The sequence below is a fragment of the Homo sapiens genome, chromosome 8, assembly GCF_000001405.40.
Source record: "Homo sapiens chromosome 8, GRCh38.p14 Primary Assembly".
In the NCBI taxonomy this organism is placed as follows: Eukaryota; Metazoa; Chordata; class Mammalia; order Primates; family Hominidae; genus Homo; species Homo sapiens.
The window spans coordinates 12,059,098-12,081,360 of record NC_000008.11 but is presented as its reverse complement, the minus strand read 5'-3'; the positions used below and the strand labels follow the sequence as shown (position 1 = coordinate 12,081,360).

Below are 22,263 nucleotides of genomic sequence, written 5' to 3'. Positions count from 1 at the left end.
TCTTTGCCCATGCCTATGTCCTGAATGGTATTGCCTAGGTTTTCTCCTAGAATCTTTATGGTTTTGGGTTTTACATTTAAGTCTTTAATGCATCTTGAGTTAAATTTTGTATAAGGTGTAAGGAAGGGGTCCACTTTTAATTTTCTGAATATGGCTAGCCATTTTTCCCATCACCATTTATTAAAGAGGGAATCACATCATCTGCAAACAGAGACAATTTGACTTCCTCTCTTCCTATTTGAATACTTTTATTTCTTTCTCTTGCCTGTTTGCCCTGGCCAGAAGTTCCAATACTATGTTGAATAGGAGCGGTGAGAGAGGGCATCCTTGTCTTGTGCTGGTTTTCTATCTCTGGTGGAATTCAGCTCTGAATCAGTCTGGTCCTGGACTTTTTTTGGGTGGTAGACTATTAATTACTGTCTCAATTTCACAGCTTCTTACTGGTCTATTCAGGGATTCACCTTCTTCCAGGTTTAGTCTCGAGAGGGTGTATATGTCCAGGAATTTATGCATGTCTTCTAGGTTTTCTAGTTTATTTGCATAGAGGTATTTATAGTATTCTCTAGTGATAGTTTGTATTTCTGTAGGGTCAGTGGTGATATCCCCTTTATCATTTTTATTGTGTCTATTTGATTCTCCTCTCTTTTCTTCTTTATTAGTCTAGCTAGTGGTCTATTTTGTTAATTTCTTCAAGAAATCAGCTTGTGGATTAATTGATTTCTTGAAGGGTTTTTTTGTATCTCTATCTCCTTCAGTTCTGCTCTGATCTTAGTTATTTCTTGCCTTCTGCTAGCTTTTGGATTTGTTTGTTGTTGCTCCTCTAGCTCTTCTAATTGTGATGTTAGGCTGTCATTTTTGAGATCTTTCTAGCTTTCTGATGTGGGCATTTAGTGCTATAAATTTCCCTCTTAACACTGCTTTAGCTGTGCCCCAGAGAGTCTGGTATGTGGTCTTTGTTCTCGTTGGTTTCAAATAACTTCTTGATTTCTGCCTTAATTTCCTTATTTACCCAGGAGTCATTCAGGAGCAGATTGTTCAATTTCCATGTAGTTGTGTGGTTTTGAGTGAGTTTCTTCATCCTGAGTTCTAATTTGATTGCACTGTGGTCTGAGAGACAGTTTGTTATATTTTCAGTTCTTTTGCATTTTCTGATGAGTGTTTTACTGCCAACTATGCAGTCGATTTTAGAATATGTGTCATGTGGCACTGAATAGAATATATATTCTGTTGATTTGGGGTGGAGAGTTCTGTAGATGTCTATTAAGTCCACTAGATCCAGAGCTGAGTTCAAGTCCTGCATATCTTTGTTAATTTTCTGTCTTGTTGATCTAATATTGACAGTGGGGTGTTAAAGTCTCCCATTATTATTTTGCGGGAGTCTAAGTCTCTTTGCAGGTGTCTAAGAATTTGTTTTATGAATCTAGGTGCTCCTGTATTGGGTGCATATATATTTAGGATAGTTAGCTCTTCTTGTTGAATTGATCCCTTTATCATTATGTAATACTCTTCTTTGTCTTTTTTTATCTTTGTTGGTTTAAACTCTGTTTTGTCAGGGACTAGAATTGCAACCCCTGCTTTTTTTGGCTGAGATTACAGGCATGGGCCACCATGCCCAGCTAATTTTGTATTTTTGGTAGACACGGGATTTCTCCATGTTGGTCAGGCTGCTCTCGAACTCCTGACCTCAGGTGATCCGCCCGCCTCGGCCTCCCAAAGTGCTGGGATTACAGGCGTGAGCAACCGGGCCCAACCTAAATCACATCTTTATACATCGTATGATCATGAACATACGTTTATATTTATTGCTTTATGCATTGACTTTCTTTTTATTGTATTTAAGATATACAATATTATGTTTGTGTATATATACATATATATATAGTGCAATGATTGCCATAATCAAGCAAATTAACATATCCGTCATCTCACATAGTTACTTTTTTGTGGTAAAAGTATCTAAAATCTGCTCTGGGCAAATTTCTGGAGTATGATACGTTATTAACTACAGCTCTTGTGTTGTACATGAGATCTCTAGGCATATGTATTTTATATAGCTGAAACTTGTACCCTTTGGCTTTCATCTTCCATCTTCCACACATCTCCCACCTCTTTCTAACCTTTCTATTTCTTAGGGCTTTTGTGGGGCTTTTTTGTTTAGGGTCTACCTATAAATGAGACAATGCAGTATTTTTCTTTCTGTGCCTGATTTATTATTAGCATAATGTCTTCTAGGTTCATCCATGTTGATGCAAATGAAAGAAACTTCTTTACAAAACTGAGTGATATTTTATTATGTATATAATTCCTTTATCCATCTGTTCATAAACACTTAGGTTTTTTCAATATCTTGGGTAATGTGAGTAATGCTGCAATGTGATGTGCAGTTGTTTTTAAATCAGAAGAAAAGAGGATATTGCTTATATATACTAAAGTTCCCTTTATTAAAGATACACACACACACACACACACACACACACACCAGCATTTTTACTCCTTTATGTGTTTGAAATTACTGTATAATGTTCTTTCATTTCAGCCCAAATCACTCCTTGTAGAATTTTTTATCATCCCACTGCATTCTTAAAAGAGGTCAGCTGTAAATTTACTGTGAATCACTAATAACTAATCTTCCCTTATCTGCAATTTTACTTTCCATGGCTTCAGTTACCTATGGTCAACTTTCACCTGAAAATATTAAATGGAAAATTTCAGAAATAAACAATTTTCAATTGCATGCCATTCGAGCAGCATGATGAAATCTCATGCTATCTGGCTTCATCCCACTTGGGATGTGAACCATTCCTTTGTCCAGAATATTCATCCTGTATATGCTACCGACCCATTAGTCAATTAACACCTGTCCTGGTTATCAGATTGACTGTCACGCTATCACAGTCCTGTATTCAAGTAACCCTAATTTTACTTAATAATGGCCCCAAAATGCAAGAGTACTCCCCCAATTTATATAATAAAATTATCAAATTTTAAATTTTGATTAAATGTTATTGTAAGTATGTATTAAAAAACATAATATGTGTATGATTCAGTACTATCCATGGTTTCAGGTATTCACTAGGAGTTTTGAAATGTATCCCTCATGGATAAGAAGGAACTACTGTAAATGATAAGTCTCTTCTCTCCTACTGTTTTCAAGATTTACTCTTTGGCTTTGGATTTGAGCCATTTGGTTATGATATGTCTTCGGGTGGTTTCTTTCAGTTTATCCATCTAGAGTACATTGAGCTTATTGTACATGCAGGTTAAATTTTTTATAAAATTTGGTAAGCATTAGACAATTATATCTTCAAATATATTTTCTGTACCTTTCTCTCTCTCTTTTCTTTTTGGAACTTCCATTATGCATATGTTGATATCTTGATGGTGTTCCACAGGTCTATTAGACTCCATTTATTATTCTTCATTCTTTTCTCTGAGATTTTCCCTAACTGGATAATCTCAATTGACCTATTTTCATGTTCACTAATTTTTTGTACCTCCTCAAATCTGCTGTTTAGCCCTCTAGAGTATTTTTCATTTCCATTATTTTATCTTTCAACTCCAGAATTTCTATTTGGTTTCTTTTTAAAAGAACATTATAAAATAAATAATTTTTTTAAAAAAAAATTATTGATAGCCTCTATTTTGTGAGATATCATTCTCATGTTTTTTTTAATTGTCTCTTGTTGATATTCTCTATTTTTGTGAGATATCATTCTCATGTTTCTCTTTAGTTCCTTAGATGCCGTTTCCTTTAGCTCTTTGAACATATCTAAAATAGTTGATTTAAAGTCTGTTTCTATTAAAGCCAATGTCTGGATCTCCTCGGGATAGATTTCATTAACTGAATGTTTTCTTTTCCATGTGCCATACTTTCTTGGGTTTTTTCTTTTTGCATGTCTCATACTTTTTTTGAATACCAGACATTTTAAACATGATAATGTGGCCACTCTAGAAATAAGATTCTCCGTCCTCCCCACGTTGTACTCCTCATTGTAGTTATTTGTTTGTTCAGTATCTTTTCTGAATAAACTTTTTGGTCTCTATTTTTTGTCACCTATGTCGATTAAAATATTTTTTCCATTAGCTTAGAGGTCAGCTAATAATTTGACAAAGATTTCCATATGTGTTTGGAACTTGCAGAGGGGCTTTGTGTATGTGTTGGGCCCTGCTTTCAACACTCAGACAGACAGATTACGACTCTGCCTTGGCTTACACTTTCTGCTTGTGCAGGGAAGGTAGAAATTTCCCAGGTTTTTTTTTTTTTTTTTTTTTTTTTTTTTTTGAGACGGAGTCTCGCTCTGTCGCCCAGGCTGGAGTGCAGTGGCGCGATCTCAGCTCACTGCAAGCTCCGCCTCCCGGGTTCACGCCATTCTCCTGCCTCAGCCTCCCGAGTAGCTGGGACTACAGGCGCCCGCCACCACGCCCGGCTAATTTTTTGTATTTTTAGTAGAGACGGGGTTTCACCGCGTTAGCCAGGATGGTCTCGATCTCCTGACCTCGTGATCCGCCCGCCTCGGCCTCCCAAAGTGCTGGGATTACAGGCGTGAGCCACCGCGCCCGGCCATTTCCCAGGTTTTTACTAAACATGCACACAGCCTTGACATACACAGTTTTGCAAATTCTCAGAAATATGTTGAAGCTTTTCAAAGCCCACATTCCCCAAAGCATCTCATTCCCAGGACTTCCTCTGAAGACTTTTGTTTAGTCTATTGTTTTCCCCAGTGTTCAGGCGACAGTATTTATAATGTTTTTCTGTAAATGTTTTCTAATACCGCCCCACACCAAGTAGCAGCTTTACCACTGCGTGAGGTCCAGGTTAGGTGAAAAAACAAGGCTTCTGAGAATATATTACAGGGAGTCAACAGGCAGACCAATTTTTCATGAATGAGGTCCATTCTGTTTCTTCTGGCATTGGTGTTAAGAATCTGGGCATTATTTTCAAGCCTGCTGCTTCTCTGTGAAGAATGGAAACAGGGTAAGTTAAAAACCACAAATCGATGTTCTTACTGAGACCAGATATTTTGCTAGAATTAACACTCCCTAGATTGCTGAAAACCTTAGGTTAGTTTTCAGAGTTCTAAAAAGCTTTATGTTGACAGTTGTTGCCAGTTTTATCGTATATTTTATAAAGAGATAAAATTTTGAACATTTTTATTCCACTTTTGCTGATCTCACTATACCACAACCTTTTTATTATACTCTTTGTACCGTATAATTTATTCATTATACTATTATTATTACTTATTAGTCACAACAATTCCCAATATTGAAAATGAAGGACAATAAAATTCTGGCAATTTTATTCAAGAGCATAATGGATTGAACCATGTAAAACTGACATTTTTGAAACTGAAAAAAAAGTTATAGCTACTGTGGCACATTGCATTTTTCAAAAATGCATTTCCAAAAATTTAGTTTTCTAAAAATATATATTCCATCCCACAAGATCTTTTTATAATGTAACATTGATACTCCTCCACTGAGAGGTGAAGTCTATGTTCCCTCTGCTTGATCTGAGGCAAACCTTTGTAACTGCCTTAACTAATAAATACAGTGCAGATGATGCTTTCTGACTTCTCAGGCTACATAATAAAAGGTTATATGACTTCTGTTTGTATCTCAGTCTTCAGAACCACTAGTTGAAAGACTGGAAATCTTAGCCAGAGCAATCAGGTAAGAGAAAGAAATAAAAGGCATCCAACTAGAAAGAGAGGAAGTCAAACTATCTCTCTTCGCAGATGATATGACTCTATAATGAGAAAATTCCATAGTCTCTGCCCAAAGGCCATAGACCTGATACTCAGTAAAGTTGCAGGATGAAAAATCAATGTATAAAAAATCAATATCATTTCTATACACCAAGCTGTGAGCCACACCAAGAACAAAATTCCATTCATAATAGCTGGAAGAAAAAATAAAAATACCTAGGAATACAGCTAACCAGGAGGATGAAAGATCTCTAAATGAGAATTATAAAACAATGCTGAAAGAAATAAGGGATGACACAAACAAATGAAAAAACATTCTATGCTCATGGATAGGAAGAGTCAATATTCTTAAAATGGCCGTACTGCTCAAAGCAATTTACAGATTCAGTGCTATTCCTATCAAACTATCAATGACATGTTTACAGAGTTAGAAAAAACTATTTTAACATTCATATGAGACCAAAAAAAAAAGAGTCTGATGAGTGAAAGTAATCCTAAGCAAAAAAGAACATCACTGGAGGCATCACATTACCTGACTTCAAACTATATGACAAAGCTGCAGAAACTAAAACAACATGGGACTGGTACAAAAGCAGACACATGGACCATTGCAACAGAATCTCTATTCCAGAGATAAAGATTGCTGTAACACAGAAATAAAGCTGCACACCTACAACCATCTGCTCTTTGACAAAGTTGACAAAAATAAACAATGGGGAAAAGACTCCCTGTTCAATAAATGGGGCGGAGATAGCTGGCTAGCCATATGTTAGAAGGATGAAACTGAATGCCTACCTTTCACGATATACAAAAAACTAACTCAAGATGGATTAAAGATTTCAATATAAGACCTCAAACTATAAAAATTCTAGAAGAAAATCTAGGAAACATCATGTTCGACATTGGCCTTGGGAAATAATGCATGACTAAGTCCTCAAAAGCAACTGCAACAAAAACAAAAATTGACAAGTGGAGCCGAATTAACTAAAGAGTTTCTGCAGAGAAAAAAAAAAAAAACTGTTAACAGAGTAAACAGCAAACTACAGAATGGGAGAAAATATTTGCAAACCATGCATCTGACAAAAGTCTAATATCCAGAATCTATAAGGAATTTAAATCAACAAGCAAAAACTAAAACCTTTATTTAAAAATTTGGAAAACATGGACACTTCTCAAAAGCAGACATACAGAGAGACACCCAACATATTTTTAAAATGCTCAGTATCACTAATAACTAGAGAAATGCAAATCAAAACCACAATAAGATCCCCTCTCACACCAGTCAGAATAGATATTATTAAAAGTCAAAAAATAACAGACACTGGTGAGGCTTTGGAGAAAAGGGAATTCTTATAGACTGCTAGTGGAAATATAAATTAGTTCAGCTATAGTGGAAAGTAGTCTGAAGATTTCTCAAAACACTTAAAATAAAAGCACTACTTGACACAGCAATCCCATTACTTAGTATATATCTAAAGGAATATCAATTATTCCACCATAAAGATACATGCATTTGTATGTTCATTGCAGCATTATTCACAATAGTAAAGACATGGAATCAACCTAGATGCCCATCAACAGCGGACTAGATAAAGAAAGTGTGGCATATATGCGCCATAGAATAGTATGCAGCCATGAAAAGAAAAAATCATGTCCTTTGCAGCAGCACAGATGCAGCTGGAGGCCATTATTCTAACCAAATTAACACAGAAACGGACAGCCAAATACCATACATTCTTACTTAAAAGTGGAAGCTATTGGGAGGCTGAGGCAGGCAGATCACGAGGTCAGGAGATTGAGACCATCCTGGCTAACACGGTGAAACCCTGTCTCTACTAAAAATACAAAAAATTAGCTGTGCGTGGTGGCGCACACCTGTAGTCCCAGCTACTCAGGAGGCTGAGGCAGGAGAATCGCTTGGACCCCGGAGGTGGAGGTTGCAGTGAGCAGAGATCATGCCACTGCCCTCCAGCCTGGGCAACAGAGCAAGACTGTGTCTCAAACAAACAAACAAAAAAAGTGGAAGCTAAACACTGAATACAGATGGACACAAAGAAGGGAACAACAGACACTAAGGCCTACCTGGGGTGGAGGGTGGGAGGAGGGTGAGGATTGAAAATCTACCTGTTGAGTAATACGCTGAATACCTGGGAAAATTATCTGTATACTAAACCCCCAGGACACACAATTTATCCATGTAACAAACCTGCACACGAAACACTTGAATGAGTTACATATACAAGAATGAGGGCATAAAAAAAAAAAGGACTTTACTTAGCACCTTTGTCAAAATCATTAAGCATGGATAAATATATATGGTCTTACCCATATGCAGACCATTCATATGATGGTCGTATCCTTGACTCTCTATTATGTTCTGTTGAACTATATGTCTCTTCTTATTTCAGTATCACAGTGTCTTCGTTATTGTAGCTTTGTCTTGAAACAAGGTAGTCTAAATTGTCTGGCTTTGTTCTACTTTTCAAAAAATCTTTTGAATATTAGTCTTTTGGAACATTTATTCAAACCTAAAATTATTAAGGCATAAATTATTAATGAGGAAATAAATTAGCAAATGCTCATAAATACATCAACTAACATGAAAATGATCAAAAGTAGTCAAATAAAAGCTATATAAAAGTTATATATATATGCATATATAATTTTTCAGAAAAGACTGACACCATATATGAAAGTTTACAAATTTAAAAAAATATCAATTCAAGGAAATATGCCAATAAGGAATTGAACAGAAGGTAAATTTGTTTTGGGTAAGTTGGATGTTGGTCAATTGATTCTTGATTAAAGCATGCTCTTAAGCTTTCAATATTTTGTTGCTATGTGGTGGGTTAGGGTGAAAGGTTAGGGGAATCTCTTTAAGCTGTAGGCTCAGAGTCTTTTGAGAGGAGCTGCGCACTTTACTCTGTCTTTTATCTTTCAACTCTCCTGATCTTACTTGTCTTGTTGTATGAGATAATTATACAAAGGATCAATAACGATGAAAAAATATTTGTTTTCAATGTGAATTAAATGTATCCACCTTTCGGATGTGATTAAGAACACCTCAGGGCCGGGCGCAGCGGCTCACGCCTTGTAATCCCAGCACTTTGGGAGGCCGAGGTGGGCGGATCACGAGGTCAGGAGATGGAGACCATCCTGGCTAACACGGTGAAACCCCGTCTCTACTAAAAATACAAAAAATTAGCCGGGCGTGGTGGTGGGCGCCTGTAGTTCCAGCTACTGGGGAGGCTGAGGTAGGAGAATGGCGTGAACCTGGGAGGTGGAGCTTGAGTGAGCCGAGATCGCGCCACGGCACTCCAGCCTGCAACCTGGGCGACAGAGCGAGACTCCGTCTCAAAAAAAAAAAAAAGAACACCTCACACAAGTGACAGCCTTTCTTTTAAGGACTAACTTAGTTAAAAAAAAAAAAATAAGAAAAACATAGCTTTTCATAAATGGACCTTAGAGAATACTCTTGTCCCTCTTGCAAAAAAACAACAACAACAAAAACAAAAACAAAACAAAACAAAACAAAAAAAAACAGTGTATTATGGAAATGTTTCCTTACAAGCCCTAGGACTTTTGCAGTAAGGATGTTCTGTACCCACATGGCTTTACTTCTTAGCCCCATTCAAAAAAGAAAATTAACTACAGGTATTAATTCACCTCTGGTGAAATTGAGAGCCATAGGAAAAGGAAAGGGTTAGCCATCTGGTTTCCTACAATTAGGTTAATTTGTCACAAAATTTAGAGACCTTCGAGTTTGGAAGTATTCCAACGGAAGCTGTTTTATGTCCTTTCTGTTAAGCTTCACTGAGCAAGAGGAACCTCAGGCCCCCAGAATTAAATAAAACCCCTGTGTTCCACCAGCCCTGATCACTCACCTCTCTATTGGGCACTCAACCATGAAACTCCATTCCCTTATTTCTGTTCTCCTCCTCTTTGTGACTTTAATACCAAAAGGTAAGATGGTGAATGATTGTAGAAGTCTATTGGGACGCCTAGACCGGAAGAGGTCTACTGAGATAATTATGCTGTGGCCATCCGAACTCAGACCCCAATTCACAGCCTTAGGAATTCAGAAATCCACCATGTTTCTCTTCTTTGGTACTAATGAGGCCACAATTGAGAAGCAGGACAAGGAGTTCTTTCAACAGAAAATGGGGGTTCAAGAGCTCGATAATTAGAAAATGGGGCCGAAATAGAGTTAGGGGTATAGAAGCTCTGATATGTGATTTAAAGGTTAGTAAATAAAGCAAACAGCTATCATCAAGGCTTCACTCTCCAAAAAGGAGAGTGAAGATGATAGTTCTTGATTCCAACTCGGTAGTGGATGGAAGTGATGTTGAGTCTATTGGTGAGGAATATTTGTGAAGGGTAGCAGTTAGGCAAATAAGACAGAGTTCAACAAGAAAATTTTGCATCAAATTATAAAAGACCAATAGAAATTTGGGAACAAGGGAATTGGGAAAAGAATAAACAGTGGCATGAAGCTTTAATGGCAAAATTTTAAGCATAAGACAAATAGTACAGAAAACCCTTCAAGACTCATAGTTGCATCCTTAGGGTCCACGATTCAGAAGTTTAAATATCGAAATGTAGAATCAAACTGAAAAGGGAATATAGAATCAAACATCTTCAGGGTGTTTCATCCAGATCCTGATAAGATATGATAAAATTATTATCTCCACTGTTAATAGTGGGATGTTCATAGCCCCCAAAATAAAGTGTGTGGTCAATGAGCAAAGATCTCTTCCTCCCTTTATCTCTGAGATTATTTTTTAAATAATTTCAACTTATATTGTAGATTCAGGGGGTACATGTGCATGTTTGTTATGTTGGTATATTTTGTGATGTGAGGTTTGGGGCATGATGGTAATCCCATCACTCATGTAGTGAGCATAGTACCAAATAGTTTTTTAATCCTTGTTTTCCTCCCTCCCCACTCTAGTAGTCTCCCATGTCCCATCTTTATGTCCATGAGTATCCAGTGTTTAGCTCCCACTTACAAGTGAGAACATGCAGTATTTGGTTTTCTATTTCTGCATTAATTTGCAGTCCTCCAGCTCATCCATGTTGCTACAAAGTATATGATTTTGTTCCTTTTTATGGCTTCATAGTATTCCATGGTCTATATGTACCACATTTTCTTTATCCAGTCCACCATTGATGAGCACCTGGGTTGATTCTTTGTCTTTACTATTGTGAGTAGTTCTGGGATGAACATAGGAGTGCAGGTATGTTTTGGGTAGAATTATTTGTTTTCTTTTGGACGATATACCCAGTAGGAATTGCTGGGTGGAATGGTAGCTCTGTTTTAAGTTCTTTGAGAAATCTTCAGACTGTTACATTCCCACCAACAGTGTATAAGCACTCCTTTTCTCCACAGCCTCATCTGCGTTTCTGTTATTTTTTTAACTTTTTAATAATAGCCATTCTCACTGGTGTAAGATAGTTCTCATTGTGGTTTTGATTTGCATTGCTCTAGTGATTAGTGGTGTTGAGCTACTTTTCATGTTTGCTGGCTGCTTCTATTATCTTTTTTTGAGAAGAGTCTGTTCATGTTTTTCATGTCTTTTCCCCACTTTATTTATTTTTTGCTTGTTGATTTAAATTCCCTGTAGATTCCGGATATTAAATTTTTGTCAGATGCATAGTTAGCAGATATTTTCTCCCATTCTGTTGTTTTCTGTTTACCCTGTTAATAGTTTCTTTTTCTCTGCAGAAGCTCTTTAGTTTAATTCGGCTCTACTTGTCAACTTTTGTTTTTGTTGCAATTGCTTTTGAGTACTTAGTCATAAATTATTCCCCAAGGCCAATATCTACAATGGTGTTTCTTAGATTTTCTTCTAGGAGTCTTATAGTTTGAGGTCTTACATTTAAATATTTAATTCGTCATGAGTTAATTTTTTGTATATGGTGAAAGATAGGCATCCAGTTTTATTCTTCTGCTTGTGGCTGGCCAGCTATCCCAGCACCATTTATTGAACAGGGAGTCCTTTTCCCGTTGTTTATTTTTGTCAACTGTGTCAAAGAGCAGATGGTTATAAATGTGCAGCTTTATTTCTGGGTTCTCTATTCTGTTCAAGTGGTTCATGTGTCTGCTTTTGTACCAGTCCCATGCCATTTTAGTTACTGTGGCCTTATAGTATAATTTGGAGGCAAGTAGGATGATGCCTCCAGTGTTGCTCTTTTTGCTTAGGATTATTTTGGTTGTCTGAGTTCTTTTATGGTTTCATATGAGTTTTAGAATAGTTTTTTCTATTCTGTGAAAAATGTCATTGGTAGTTTGATAGGAATAGCACTGAATCTATAAATTGCTTTGGGCAGTATGGCCATTTTCACAATATTGGTTCTTGCAATCCACAGCAGGGAATATTTTTCTATTTGTGTTACCTGTGATTGCTTTCAGTAGTGATTTGTAGTGTCACTTGTAGAGATCTTTCACCTCCTTGGTTAAATGTATTCATGGGTATTTAATTTTTTGTGTGGCTGTTGTAAATGGGATTGCATTCTTGACCTGGCTCTCGGGTTGAACATTGTTGGTGTATAGAAAGGCTACTGATCTTGTACATTGATGTTGCATCCTGAAACTTTACTAAAGTTGTCTATGAGGTCCAGGAGGCTTTCAAAGAATCTTTAGAGTTTCTTAAGTGTAGAATAATATCATCTATAAAATGAGGTAATTTGATTTCTTCTTTTCCTATTCGGATGCCTTTTATTTCAAAAGGCTGATTGCTCTGGCTCGTATTTCCAGTACTATGTTGATTAGGATGGTGAGAGGGGGCACTCTTGTTTTGTTCCAGTTCTGAGATTCTTTGAAGTGCAATCAAAGCTACTCAATTGTTTGATCTTTACCTAATCTGTGGACATGTTGAGATCCACCTCACATATGATTGCCTCCTTCTGAAGGAGCTTATGCAATTCTCATTTGGTTCTCAGCTTTGGTCAGAAGATACCATTGAGGTCAGATACACTTGTAGTGACATGTGATATGAAATTATATGATGGTAATAATTTCAAATTAAAATAAAATTTAGTGGCAGTTGTTTTTATTTTAGATAATAAAACCCATGTACAGATAAAGAATGTGATTTTCCTCCGATCACATAGGTAGTAGCAACATCGCAGCTAAAAGCAAATCTCTTTAATCTGGGTCAATGTTGTTTTTAATCAATCCATAGGTGGAGATATGCATACAAAAACGATAACTCTGATTTCTGCCAGACTTTTTTCTCAGAATCTTCTAATTATATATTGTGGAAACTAAGGAGGTTTTCTACCATATGTGACAACATGGATGAACCTGGAGGACATTATGCTAAATGAAATAAGCCAGTCACAGAAGACAAATAGTGCATGATTGCACTTATATGAGGTACCTAAAATAGTCAAACTCATGGAAACAGGTAGCAGAATGGTGCTTTCCAGGGACTGGGGAGGGAGGAGGAAATAGGGAGTTGCTATTTAATGAGTAAAAGTTTTCAGTTTTATTAGATGAATAAGCTCTAAATATCAACTGTACAATATTATATCTATAGCACTTAAAAATTTCTTAAGAATGTAGATCTCACTTTAAGTGTTACGACCACAATAAAATAAAAGATGAAGAACAAGAGGTTATTTGAGGTTGAAAGCTGAGTTAATCTCCCCACAAATACGACAAGAATCCTTCAGAGGCCTGCCTTTCAAGCCGTGACATCTTCCTGGAGGAATAGAAATATCAGCCCTTCTTTCTTCCTTCCAAATCAGCTATACCAGGAAGAAGGATTAAACAAAGGTCCTATAATTCTGCACAGGAGGGAATCACTTTTGAATAGCCAGGTTTCTTGTGATCAGAGGATATTAAAACCATACATAAAGGTCAAAATACCTTAGTTGTGCATATTGAGATGTTCTTGGACACATTATGAAGTGGGACCCAGAACACTCAGGTCGAAAAATAGGAATTTCAATATCAGTTTTGTATGGTCTCTTAGTACTGAATAGTTAATTGCTGAGCTGTCTATACAATTTAATAACACTGCACTCCAAAAATTCTGATCTTAATCTCTGCTGTGACTGTTGGGCATGTAGAATTTATCAGGTGTCTAGAAGCATTCTGATAATCTTAGAAATTTTATAACTCCTATATAACTTTTATGTCATAAAATTTCTTTTAAGAAAAATTGAGTGGCTAGATCATGAAGAGTTTTGTTAAAGACATTTTTACACCAAAAAAATCCAATTAAGTAAAAAAAGTTATTGTTTTCATGAAAAAATTTCTCCAAAGAAACTACCTAATCTGAAATATTAGTTTATCAGCTTAATGTCTGATGAATATTAAGTTATAGCTACTTGAATATATGTTTTTATATATCCTTATATTTAATCCAAAAAGAATCCATGGTATCCTATAAAAAATTGGAATAGTTCATATAGATTTATATGTACACATAAACATACATATATATGCTGGGAATATGAGTCTAAAGAGGTTAGAATGGCATAAATCTTGGATTGCTGCATTAGCTCTCTGAGAATTAAGAAAATTATAGCATTCTTCTTACACTGACTGTGGAGAATAACATAATATCTAAATACACGACATTGGACAGGAGCAGAAGACAGCCTGAACTCACATTATGTAGAGAAAAGGAAACTGCACTTCTATTTTTTGATTGATAAAGTTCCAGGCAGATCCTGTTCCATTTAAATCCTCTACATCATCCAAAAAAAAAAAAAACTTAAAAGTTACTGACTCAATGAGTTCTAATGCTAAGAAAGTTATATCCTTTTAGAAAGTAGATGAATGCGCTATTAAGGGTATTTTCCAGTGTGATTCTAAGTCCTTCTCACTGCATCCACAGAAATTAATGTTGTGATATAATATGAAGTGAACATCTAAATTGTTTCTTTTTCCAAAGGCACTTATTAAATATGCATCCTTTCCTCAACTGCCGTGTGATATAACCATTATAACATATTAATGTCAAATAAATTCTAAAGTGTATTAGAGAGTGCCTCTCTTCTTTTGCTCTATATGTATATACTTCTGTCAGTAAGTCTGAAAATAAATGTGAATATCTGGGAAGAAATTTCCTTCCTCATGAATGAAGAATATGAATCTGAATCTGAATTAAGTAATTTAATCTTATCTTTTTGACTTAAACTAGTGCCCTCGGCATGACGATATGTCACAGTCATCGGTAAAAAGGGAGATTATAATTCTTTGGCTTCATGCTCAAAGCATACCTCCTTAAATTAAGCTTCCCATGTAGCAAGAAGCACATCACTGGTAGGATGAATTGTTCCACTCCTTTTGAGTGAAGCAAGGGACATCTCCCAAATAGAGGAATTGGCACTGTCTTAGGCTACATGCTGTGTCAGTAGGCTGAACTTTACCGTATAGTGGGTTATGCATCCTGCTGAGAGGAAGTTCACTCTTTTGGCTTCAGCTGAAGATTCACATTCCACCTCATTTTGCATGGGATGCCTCTAAGTTCACACACATAGGCCTCCTTGATACCATACTCTGCCTCTGACTATATCTTTCCCAGTACTAACACCCCCTGATTTTAGCTTCATTTAAAAAGTCTGACAGTGTTGCCAGATGTTAAATGTATGGATGAAGTTATCAGGGAAAAGACCAACAGCTAGCAACAGGTCTGCTATGCTTCTGAGCATGAAGCCTGTGTTCTGTGTAGACAATGCAGTTGAACCAGCACCTTCCACAACTGGCTGGGGAGACTTCAGGTCTCTCTCTGAAAGTCAGCCACTTTCTCTTCCACAATAGTCTTGGAAAAAAGAGAGAATATTACAAGATATTGCCCAACTCCCCCATCATGATATTCTCTTGTGCACAGAAACCCTGAGTTTATGAACTGCTAGTCTGATAGTAGAGTATAATACCAGACTGCACTAGGTTGAAGCTTCTAACAAGAGTGGAAGACAATCTTGCATAGGTTATGAGCACTCAGTTCCAAAAGGTTGCATTGGTTTTTCTGGCTATGGATCTATTTCTACAGAGTAGAGAAACAATAATGATAGCCTAGTTTAAATACAAAACAATAACAAACAACAACAAAAAGATTGAGAGCTGAAACGGCCACCAAACTGTTACTCATCTACAGAAGCAAAGAAGCCAGAGGTAGTATATTAGAGGCCAGTAAAAACAAAATAAGATCCAGGTGTGTTAACAGGATGGTTCAGGAACTAATGTCTGTTAATGAACATCAGCAAAAGTGTTTTTCTTATATAACATCTGCAGTGATATACAGTAGGAAAAATAAACTATGGTTGTGCTGAGAAGGCAAGAGAAAGGATAGTAAGCATAGAGAAAACTACTGAATTAGAGCACACCCTTAGCCATATGCTTCTCCACAACCAGATGAATTAAGAGAACATGTGGATACACTTAAGGGAAAATACCTTTTAGCTCTGTGAGTAATTCTCTGCAGGTGTCTGTCTGTCTATCTATCTATCTATCTATCTATCTATCTATCCATTCCTCCATCTATCTATGAGGTATTGAGCAACATAGGAAAGGTATTTCTTACATAGTTCTGAAATGAGGAAATTAGTTTAGATAAAATCTCAAGGATTGATAGGCTTTCTATGAAAGGAGATGAAGATATGCACATGAACCATTTGATAGGGATGATGTATGCACAGATGGGTATTTGGAGGGACACATACTTCCTTTGAAACTGTTTCTTAGTGGTGGCATTGTTGGTGTTTGGTGCAAGACAATTCCTTAGGTGAAAAATTTAGCAATGCTGTGCTATCTGCTAAATACCAAAGACACCTTCCCTAGGCATGGTGGCAAGAACAAATGGTCCCACACATTTCAAAATGTACTGCAATAGGGGAGGACAATCCCTTTAAAGGATTTTAGAAATTGGCCTATTTCCTCCAAGGTGTATATAATCTACAATCTTAGCTCCCTTCCCATAAAAAGGCGCTGTTTCTGTCTGCGGGTCTGATCCTTTCATATAGACAATGTTTTCTTTCCTATCCCAAAGCCATTCTTCTGGGGGTTTATTGTTTTATGTATATTTTCAATAGTGAATTAATGATGTTCTTAAATTTCTTCCTGTGTAGGAAAGACTGGCGTTATTCCAGGACAAAAACAGTGTATTGCTTTGAAAGGGGTGTGCAGAGACAAACTATGCAGCACACTAGATGATACCATTGGTATATGTAATGAAGGAAAAAAATGTTGTAGAAGGTGGTGGATACTTGAGCCCTATCCAACTCCGGTTCCCAAAGGAAAATCTCCTTAGGTGGGAGCAAACGTTAAGCCCTTTGAACTCCAGAATGGATGGATAAATTTTGCAGACTCCTGCTTAACCCAATTCCTTATTCTTCCTTGACTGGAAATAAATGTTGTCCTAATCCCATGTGTACTGACTGCCTCCTGGAGCATTTCTTCTTGATGCACATGCAAGCCTCTTAAGAACTATAGGAATAAAATAAATAACAGAAGAATCTCATACCCTATAGGTACTTATAAAAAAATGTTTCTAAGAAAAAAAAGATAAAAATATTAAATACGTAAAACAATAAGAATATGAAGTATCAGTAGGCAGTGTTTGATTATTTGAAGTGCAATGTCAGTCTGCTTCCTCATCCAGTTCTGAACAAATATCATTTTCATTACTAATAGAGACCTACTTAGATAATATGGGTTAAAGCCTGCTAATCATGTGACCTTGCTAACATTGCACCTGAGAATTAGGCGCATGACCATTCCAGTCATACCAGCACTTGAAGCAGATCTCCCCTCTGCTGCCCCCTGCCCCTAGAGAAGTAGAAAAGAAGACCCGCTTTCTACAAGTAGGCTCACTAGGAGGAGCTGTAGAGCTGAAGAGTGGCTAACTTATCATGCCTGGTTCTTTCCAAACTCTCCATCAGATAAGTCCATTTCCTGGGGCCAAGAAAATTAAAGGGCAGGGAGGATACCAGGAGTATGACATGGCATGAGTGTCACAAAGATGGAAAACATCTAGAATGAGGCCAAATTACCTCACAAACAAAATTCAAGGGTTTGTATTTTTTTAACCACAGAGCTTATGGTCAATGAATCAGGGGAGGATGGGTTATCTCCCTATGCAGAGGAGATGTCAGGAGTCTATTAAAATAACTCAAATCTCATCTTCATGGATCTGTTTCTTCAATACTAGTCATTAATTTTTCTATATCTTCTCAGAATCACTCATGAACGGCATGTTACTCTGAGATCAGATTCTAAGCTAATCTCAGAATAATACACTAATACAATTTTTACCATATACATTTTACACATAGCTGAAAATTTACATCCTCTCTTCTTTGCCATCTTAAGTTATGTGCCACTACATTATCCAGTGTAGCACATTAGAGATTCTTTGATAATTAAATGACATTAAGAGACTTTAAAAGTCATAAATACCCTCCTATATTAAAATGCTAAAAAAGAAAAACTTCCCACATTTGAATATAAACAAGTGTTCTTATAAAATTTCTAGGCATAAATTGAAGTTCAAAGATTGAATCTCTTCTATCTCTATGTTAAAGCCCAAAGACATTAGAATCCAAATGAATTACTGCCTGAAATTATCTTCCCCTTGTTAAGTCCAAATTTTTCTATTAAATGTAAGCAAAAAAAAAAAAAAAAAAAGTCATCACCCATTTCTTATTCTCCGTCTTAGTGAAATAGTGAAAGTTTCTTCAGAGACTTGACATTGAATTAATATAACATCTCAACTCACTGAAGCAAAAAGAACTTTTTTTTTTGAGACGGAGTCTCGCTCTGTCACCCAGGCTGGAGTGCAGTGGCGCGATCTCAGCTCATTGCAAGCTCCGCCTCCCGGATTCCCGCTATTCTCCAGCCTTAGCCTCCCAAGTAGGTGGGACTACAGGCGCCCGCCACCACGCCTGGCTAATTTTTTGTATTTTTAGTAGAGACGGGGTTTCACCGTGTTAGCCAGGATGGTCTCGATCTCCTGACCTCGTGATCTGCCCGCCTCGGCCTCCCAAAGTGCTGGGATTACAGGAGTGAGCCACCGTGCCTGGACAGAACGTTTTTTATATCTGGGCAAGAAGAAAAAACAGGTAAGGGAAATGAAAAACATAAGGAACAAACAGAATCAGTCCAGAAAGTCTAATTTCTTTTTTTTTTAAGTGAAAGTTTATTAAGAAAGTAAAGGAATAAAAGAATGGGTATTCCATAGGCAGAGGAGCCTCTAATTTCTAATTCTGATTGTTTTTCTTAATTTTCTTTCGGATAATACTCTCGATTTTACCATACAGTATTGGCCATTTACTAAAGAAGTTCAGTGACAGATAATACAATATAAAGTAGAGCAATGTGTCTGATCTCCAGCACTGTCAACATTTTGAGAAGAACAATTTTTTTTTTTTTGCTGTGGGGAGCTTTCCTGTATATTGTAGGATGTTTAGCAGCCTCTCTTGCCTCTAAAACATTTCTCCCACCTGTGACCAAAAAATAAATAACTAAACAAACAAACAAATAAAAATCTCTAACATTACTAAAAGTCCTCTGAGGGCAACATTGTCCCTAGTTGAAAACCACTATAGTAAAGAAATTATCAGTTAAAGTTGAAAGTAAATAGGAGTTAGAAAATTCAATCAAGTAGAGATCTTTGCCTGTAAACTTTCAAAAAGTAGGACAGCTTCACATATAAAATAATAGATAAGAAAAGTCTTCTGACAATCCAAAGATGAATTATATCTCTTTATCTGAAACATATAGATCTAGAGATAACCCCTTTGGTTTTTTTACTGCTGTGCTAGTTGTTATAAATACCTGACCATATCTTAACCATTGAGATTTTAGGGCAATATTGTTCTGATATCTCATCCAGAGGTGCAGAAATCCACGTTTTAGGGACATTTAAAAGATTTCTGGGAAAAGGCTGTCTGTGCCTTTTGATAATAAGACTGGGTGAATTACATGCAATCTGTTGGAGTACTTGACTATATCTTCTGGAGAAGGCCATGTTTACTGTATACAATGATATGATTCTGTGCATGGAACATATTATATTGATACTAATTTATGAGGGCATAGTTGATAAACCCCAAAGGAATTAATTTTACTGTTATATAAAGGCAAAGGCAGGCCGGACGCAGTGGCTCACACCTGTAATCCCAACACTTTGGGAGGCTGAGGTCAGGAGTTCAAGACCAGCCTGGCCAACATGGCAAAACCTCGTCTCTACTAAAAATACAAAAATTAGCCAGGCATGATGGTGGGTGCCCGTAATCCCAGCTACTAAAGAAGCTGAGGCAGGAGAACTGCTTGAACCCAGGAGGCAGAGGTTGCAGTGAGCCGAGATTGTGCCACTGCACTCGAGCCTGGGCGACAGAGCGAGACTCCTTCTCAAAAAAAAAAAAAAAAAAAAAAGACAAAGGCAATACTATATATCATGAAAGCTTGAGATACTCTCAGACCTTTGCCAGTTGTACATTTAGAAGTTCGTTTTGTTCTTTCTATCTTTCTGGAAAATTTGATATGATCGAGACAATAGAGTTTCTGAATAAATGGCAAGTCACAAAAATACTAGAAAATAGTCCAAGTAAAATGGATTTTATTATCACTAGAAAAAGATTGCAATTTCCATATTCAAAATACAAAATAAAATATTTTTGCTGCTGTAAGAACCATAGCTCATATAACCTTGAAAGGTTTTTATATTAGATGTAAAGTAGTATGACACCCAATGATAGACTGTGGTGTAAAGAGCAATACTATGAACACTAAAGCAACTCTTAAATAACACAACAGTTTAATAAGAAAAAAAATGACTAATTACAATGACCCATCTACTTGAAAAAAAGAAGAAAAAGAAATCAAAGAACAAATGAAGCAGAACATCTGTAAGATGGCTAAGTAGAAGATCCCCAGCCTTCGTCCACCCACAGAACACTGATTTGGCAACCATCCATTGATAAAATATCTTTGTGGTAACATCAGGACCCAGTCAGGAGTTCATGACAACCCACTAGAGCCCAAGACCAAGGAAAACTGCTTTGAGAAGGCAGGCCCATGTCCTGGGAGTAGGCTCACCAATCATAGACCTGGCCATGAACACAGAAACACCGCCATCTGCCTGTGGACCCTGCTGCAGCCCTGCTCACAGGTGGTTCCAGATGCAGCCTCAAAAGTCATTCCCAAAAGTCATTCAGGAGCAGGTTGTTTAATTTCCATGTAATTGTATGGTTTTTAGTGATTTTCCTAATATTTGTCTCTATTTTTATTGGGATGTAGTCAGAGAGTGTGGTTGGTATAATTTCGAGTTTTTTGAATTTGCTGATTATTGTTTTATGGCCAATCACATGGTTGATTTTAGAGTGTGTACCATGTGCACATGAGAAGAATGTGTATCCTGTTGTTGGGTGGACTGTTCTGTAGATGTCTTTTAGGTCCATTTGGTCAAGTGTTGAGTTAAGGCCTAAATATCTTTGTTAGTTTTCTCTCTCAATGATCTGTCGAATGCTGTCAGTGAGGTGTTGAAGTCTCCCACTACTACTGTGTGGTTATCTAAGTCTTTTTGTAGGTCCCTAATAACTTGTTTTATGAATTGCGCACACTTGTCTTGGGTGCATATATATTTAAGATAGCTAAGTCTTCTTGTTGAATTGAACCCTTTACCATTATGTAATGCCCTTCTTTGTCTATCTCTATCTTTGTTGGCTTAAAGTCTGTTTCGTCTGAAATTAGAATGGCAACCCCTGCTTTTTTGTTTCTCATTTGCTTGGCAGATCTTTCTTTGAGCCTTTACTTTGAACCTATGAGTGATGGGTCTCACATGCAATGACACTGAAGACAGCATACATTTGGGGCTTGCTTCTTTATCCAACTTGCCACTTTGTGCCTTTTAAGTAGGGCATTTAGTCCATTTATGTTCAAGGTTAATATTGCTATGTGTGGAGTTGATCTTGTTATTGTGTTGTTAGCTGGTTATTATGCAGACTTCATTGTGTGTTGCTCTATAGTGTCACTATCTATGTAATTAATTGTGTTTTGTGGTGGTTGGTACTCTTTCATTTCCATATTTAGTACTCCCTTAAGGACCTCTGGTAAGGCATGTCTGATGGTAACAAATTTCCTTAGCATTTGCTTTTCTGAAAACGATTTTATTTCTCCTTTACTTGTAAAGTTTAGTTTAGATGGATATAAAATTCTTGGTTGGGATTTCTTGTCTTTAAGAATGCTGAATGTAGGCCCACAATCTCTTCTGGCTTATAGAGTTTCAGCTTAACAGTCCACGGTTAGCCTGATGGGATTCCCTTTGTGGGTTTCCTGCTCCTTTTCTCTAGCTGCCTTTAATACTTTTTCTAGGGGATGGTTGTCTTGTGTAGTATCTTGCAGGCATTCTCTGCATTTCCTAAATTTGAATCAACCTCTCTAGTGAGGTTGGGGAAGTTTTTATGGAAGATATCCTCAAATATGTTTCCCAAGTTGTTTGCTTTCTCTCCTGCTCTTTCAGGGATGCCAGTGAGTCATATATCTGGTCGCTTTACATAATTCCCTATTTCTCAGAGGTTTGTTCATTTTTTTGAATTCTTT

The 22,263-nt window shown here is 36.8% G+C and overlaps 1 protein-coding gene across 1 annotated transcript; it reads left to right on the top strand.

The window, feature by feature from the left end:
- The first annotated feature begins 9,613 nt into the window (after positions 1 to 9,613).
- Positions 9,614 to 16,972, top strand: DEFB130B (defensin beta 130B). The gene is made up of 2 exons (NM_001195257.1): positions 9,614 to 9,671; positions 16,791 to 16,972. The coding sequence occupies exons 1-2, from the start codon at positions 9,614 to 9,616 to the stop codon at positions 16,970 to 16,972; spliced, it is 240 nt and encodes a 79-aa protein (NP_001182186.1).
- Positions 16,973 to 22,263: the final 5,291 nt, after the last annotated feature.